The 5,898-nt window shown below is 52.9% G+C and overlaps 1 protein-coding gene across 1 annotated transcript; it reads left to right on the forward strand.

The window, feature by feature from the left end:
- Positions 1-3,000: 3,000 nt before the first annotated feature.
- NEU2 (neuraminidase 2) lies at positions 3,001-5,386 on the forward strand. The gene is made up of 2 exons (NM_005383.2): positions 3,001-3,201; positions 4,445-5,386. Exons 1-2 carry the CDS (start codon positions 3,001-3,003, stop codon positions 5,384-5,386), a joined length of 1,143 nt encoding a protein of 380 aa, NP_005374.2.
- The last annotated feature ends 512 nt before the right edge of the window (positions 5,387-5,898 follow it).

Genomic DNA, 5,898 nt, shown 5'->3' on the forward strand with positions numbered 1-5,898 from the left:
TACTCATACTTGGCTATAAATCTCTTTTATAGCCAAATATATAAATAGTATAGTATAGTATAGTATAAATCTCTTCAAATATTTTACAGAGTTTGACTGTTTTCATTGACAGGGGAGTGATTGCTCACAGGTATGGGATTTCTTTTGGGGTGGTGAAAATATTCTGGAATTGGATAGTGGTGATGGCTGTATAACTTTATGAAAATACTAAAAAAACCACTGAATCATACACTTCTCAAACTCCTGAGCTTAGGTGATCCACCCGCCTCGGCCTCCCAAAGTGCTGGGATTCCAGGCGTGAGCCGCTGCACCCAGCCTGAATCATACACTTCTAAAAGGTACATTTTATAATATGTGAATTATATCTCTATTTTATTTTATTTTTTGTTTCGAGACAGGGTCTCACTCTGTTGCCCAGGCTGGAGTGCAGTTGTGCTATCTCAGCTGACTGCAACCTTCACCTCTCAGGCTCAAGCAATCCTTCCACCTCAGCCTCCCGAGTAGCTGGAACTACAGACATGTGTCACCATGACTGGCTAATGTTTGTATTTTTTGTAGAGATGGGGTTTTGCCATGTTGCCCAGGCTGGTCTGGAACTTCTGGACTCTAGCAATCCACCTGCCTCTGCCTCTCCCACTGCTGGGATTACAGGCGTGAGCCACTGTGCCTGGTCACATATCTCAATTGTAAGCATTGAGAGTGGTTCTCTTCTTGAGGGTGGGCCAGCCAGTGGCTTTGCTCCCTAGTTCTAGCCTGAAGCCTCTGTTCTCTCCCTTGCCCCATCTTCTCTCTAAGGCATGAGCCACCAGTTCTGGTCACACTCACCTCATGGAGCCCATCAGCCCGGTTTCCTAGGCCTTAGGCTGGACCCCTACTCAACCCCAAAGGCCTGGTGTGTGTCTTGCCTTGTGATTCCTCCCGAAGACGTCTCTGTCTTGTTTTCCCTCTAGAATGTCTTTATAGATGTCCTCAGCTGGCCGGGCGTGGTGGCTCATGCCTGTAATCCCAGCACTTTGGGAGGCTGAGGCGGGAGGATCACCTGAGGTCAGGAGTTCGAGACCTGCCTGACTAACATGGAAAAACCCCGTCTCTACTAAAAATACAAAAGTAGCTGGGCATGGTGGTGCATGCCTGTAATCGGGAGCTTGAGGCAGGAGAAGCACTTGAACCTGGGAGGCGGAGGTTGCAGTGAGCCGAGATCTCGCCATTGCACTCCAGCCTGGGCAACAAGAGCGAAACTCCATCTAAAAAAAAAGAAAAAAAAAAAAAGATTTCCTCAGCTAAACTTCTTCTCTCCTTTCCTCCCACATTGTGTAGAGAAGGCCAGCCATTGTAATCCATACAGAAATTTTGGCCCTGAGGACATTTTAAATACAAACATTTTAAACTGAATTATACCAACTCTGCTGAATTTCCATCAAGGACACTTTCCAGAGCCCACTCTATGGAGCTTAAATAAATCCTTGATCAATTTTCCAGAGAACACTGTGAAACTGCACAGTTCTCCATTTTCATTTTTACTTGTTATCATATTTGATTCTTTCCTGCTGACATTTTCTAACAGCGTTTCAGCATAGGCCTCCCGATACCTATCAAGGCCTGTGTCCTTGGATTATAATTTGGTGATTCTATCACCAAGCCATGAATCTCCCACCGAAGTTCAGGGAATAGCACATTTTTTCCTTGTGCAGCTTTTGCCCTTCTCAGTTTTATTTTCTCACATCGTCCTAATATTAACGTTCACTGTGGTTGAATGAAAGACTGATAGATTACATTTATTTCTCAAAGAAGCTAAGTTTTAAATAGATAACGCATGCATGTGGTAGAAAAATGAGAGCAGTACAAAAGGGTGCACAAAGGCAAACCTTGCCCCTCTTGCTGGCCTCTTGCCCACTTGCCCTCTGCAAAGGCTGTGTCTCAGACGGGGTGCCCAGGACGCCGGCTCTGACACGGAGACCCACGGCAGGCAAGAGCCTCTGGGGGAAAGGGAGGAGCAGCAGAGAAAGAGGCGGCTGTAATGCAGTCTCAGGGAAGGCCCAGCCGCCCGGAGGGAGCTCCGGAGCCGCACTGTTCCTGGTCAGGAGTTCAGGAAGAGGGTCTTCAGGCTCTGAGTGGACCAATCATCAAGCAGCCCTTCTTGGGTATGACCTGGGGCAGATTCTTCATCTGGGAACAACTGGCCCATCCTCCCCAGGCCAGGGCCCTGCAGCCAACACTCCCCAGAGCTGCGGGATGCATCCTCCTAAAGGGACCTAGGCAGCTTAGCCCGAAAATCACTGTCACCCACTGTCCCCAAGTTACCTCTGTCCCCTCCCTACCCTTTTTAGCTGAAGACTTATTTTTAATTGTTATTTTCTTAGACCTCTGGAGCACCCCACGCCCCCAGCCTGGGTTAGCTGTCAGGAGCCCCTGTCTCTTCCTTTCCCACTGCAGCGCCGCCCCCTCGCTGCCTCAGGGGGAGCCCACGCAGCAGCGGGGGCAGACGGGCCTCAGCCTCAGGCAGCCTGGGGAGCAGAGCCTTAGAAGCCATGCTTTTTCTTTTTCCTTTTCTTTGAAACAACTTTCTAGGGCTCTGGAGTTATAAAAAGCTCCCATGTGTCACTTTCTGGCATTTGGGCAGCTGCCGAATGCCACCCGGCCTGCACTGCTGTCCTCCCGAGGTTTGCCCCTGGATTGATGGGCTGGGTTTGGCAAAAGCAGCTGGAGGTTATCGAAAATCTGTTGTAAGGAGCATTGTTAACTTAGAATAAAAATCGAATCCAAAACACGCTTTTGCAATACCCCCTCCCGATATCCACCGAGGCAAAGGCAGAATTAAGAAGCAGGGTCTTGAGATGTAGGAAAGGAGAATGAACCCCACGCGGGAAGAGGACAGGCCGCCCTGACTTTGGTCCACTCAGCCAGGGGGTGAGCACCACCTGTCTTGGTGAATGACTCTGAGCCCATCTCAGGTGTGGCTGCAGGTGACACATCTTCTCTTCCTGTCCACCCCCCAGCCCCATGGCGTCCCTTCCTGTCCTGCAGAAGGAGAGCGTGTTCCAGTCGGGAGCCCATGCCTACAGAATCCCTGCCCTGCTCTACCTGCCTGGGCAGCAGTCCCTGCTGGCCTTCGCGGAACAGCGGGCAAGCAAGAAGGATGAGCACGCAGAGCTGATTGTCCTGCGCAGAGGAGACTACGACGCACCCACCCACCAGGTTCAGGTGAGGCAGGAGGTGTCTGCACTGGCTCCCCAGGGCTCTGCCACACCCTTTGCTGCTGTGATCAGGGGCCAGTCCTGGATCTCAAGAAATACAGGGACAACTTTATCCCTCAATGGCTGTACTCCGGAGGAGAGATAGAGCAGAGAAAGTGCCCCTAATGGTTCCCTGGACCTCTGGGTTCACTGTGAATTAGTCCAGCTGGCCTCCATCTGTTTTCATGAAAGATTGAATGAGTTGCCCAGCATCCGTGATGACCTCACGGAGGAATAGTTCAGTGTTGCATAATGGAGGGTTGTGTCCTTTGAGTAAAATTAACTTGGGGACTTGGGGTGGGGTGATGGCTTGTGTCCTAAAGTCCCATTTTATAGATTAAATAATTAATCCTGATGACAGCACCCAAGGCTGGCTGATCATATTTGAAGAGTTTAATATTATTATCATTCCTTTGTGGTCATTACTACACAGCTGTTCAAAGCATGGGATTTGAAGCAGATGGACCTGGGTTCAAGTCCTGGTTCCGCCACTGACCACAGATGTGGCCTAGGCAACTCCTCCTCCCTGTCGCGGTCTCTTGCTCACTGTAATAATGGAGCTACTAACACCTGTTCCCTGGGGATTGAGGCATTAGATGAGACCATGGATGTTAGACTTTTGGTGCTGTGTCTGTGCTTAGAATTGCCCAATGGGGGTAGCTGTTAATAAATGGGGACAGACAGCACATGTGACATAGACTTGGGGATTCTGGAAGCTCAATGTGACTCCTCCTTGGCTACATGAGTAGGATATGGAGTGTAGAAGGTGAGAGGTGACCGTCACATTCTGTCTTGTACTGGTCAGGTTATTGCACCTTCCGCCAGGGCTTTGCTATTCAAGGATGGTGAGCTGGACTGGGGTGGGAAGTGGAGGAACCAGGATGAAGTTGGGAATGGCTCATGCACGAGTCATCTTCATATCTTGTGGTCTGGCAGGTGGGTGTTCTGTAAATGCATATTGATGGCAATGGAAGGAACAGAATCACTCAGCCGAGTGTGGCTGCCTTGGAGGGGTGAGGTGGCACCCTGGGCCCCGCAGCTCTGGGGAAACGTTGCAAGGAGGATATGAGTGTTGGGTGAAGAGTTCTTCTCGATGACTTTTGACTCTAACCCGGGAGACACACCCGTGCCCACCCCTCCCACTCATGCAGCTCCTGGCACCATCCCCAGCTGTTTCAAGGCTGCCTTCTTCTTTCTCTCTCCCTACTCAGTGGCAAGCTCAGGAGGTGGTGGCCCAGGCCCGGCTGGATGGCCACCGGTCCATGAACCCATGCCCCTTGTATGACGCGCAGACGGGGACCCTCTTCCTCTTCTTCATTGCCATCCCTGGGCAAGTCACGGAGCAACAGCAGCTGCAGACCAGGGCCAATGTGACGCGGCTGTGCCAAGTCACCAGCACTGACCACGGGAGGACCTGGAGCTCCCCCAGAGACCTCACTGATGCGGCCATCGGCCCAGCCTACCGGGAGTGGTCCACCTTTGCAGTGGGCCCGGGGCATTGTTTGCAGCTTCACGACAGGGCCCGGAGCCTGGTGGTGCCCGCCTACGCCTACCGGAAACTTCACCCCATCCAAAGGCCGATCCCCTCTGCCTTCTGCTTCCTCAGCCATGACCATGGGCGCACGTGGGCGCGAGGGCACTTTGTGGCCCAGGACACCCTGGAGTGCCAGGTGGCCGAAGTCGAGACTGGGGAGCAGAGGGTGGTGACCCTCAACGCGAGAAGCCACCTCCGAGCCAGGGTCCAGGCCCAGAGCACCAATGACGGGCTTGATTTCCAGGAGTCTCAGCTGGTGAAGAAGCTGGTGGAGCCGCCGCCCCAGGGCTGCCAGGGGAGCGTCATCAGCTTCCCCAGCCCCCGCTCGGGGCCTGGCTCCCCAGCCCAGTGGCTGCTCTACACTCACCCCACACACTCCTGGCAGAGGGCCGACCTGGGTGCCTACCTCAACCCGCGACCTCCAGCCCCTGAGGCCTGGTCAGAGCCGGTACTGCTGGCCAAGGGCAGCTGTGCCTACTCAGACCTCCAGAGCATGGGCACCGGCCCTGATGGGTCCCCCTTGTTTGGGTGTCTGTACGAAGCCAATGATTACGAGGAGATTGTCTTTCTCATGTTCACCCTGAAGCAAGCCTTCCCAGCTGAGTACCTGCCTCAGTGAGCCTGTGGTGCCCACCTCAAGGGCCTGCCTTTCACCTGCACACCCAGCTCGGAGGCTCTGCGGCTGCCTCTCCTTCCCGTGGCCCCTGGACGTGGGGGCCACTCTGGGCTCCCTTCGGCGCCCGTGTGTGGAGAGAGGTGCACCTCTTGCTCTTTTCCTCCTGCGTGGTTCCAGTCTTCCCAAAAGGTTCTATTTTCAGCCCAGAAACCAAAAGTGTCTGGCTTCCCATAGCCCCTCCATAGGGAAGGCGTGGAGGGTCCTGCAGCGCAGCTGTCACCTTGTCTGCCTGTCCCCTACCCCCAGCTTTGTGTAGGTCTTGACAAATTTCTAGTTCAACTCCTTCCTTCTTGGGAACCATTCCTTATGTTCCTGGGGAAGAACTGAGATGGAAGACCATGGTGTAAATTAGCAGAGATGTGTGTGTATCTGTGTGTGTCTGCATGTGCACGTGTGTTCGTGTGTGTCTATATGTGTCTCTGTGTGCATGTGTGTTCGTGTGTGTCCATGCATAC

Source organism: Homo sapiens, chromosome 2, assembly GCF_000001405.40.
Source record: "Homo sapiens chromosome 2, GRCh38.p14 Primary Assembly".
Taxonomy (NCBI): Eukaryota; Metazoa; Chordata; class Mammalia; order Primates; family Hominidae; genus Homo; species Homo sapiens.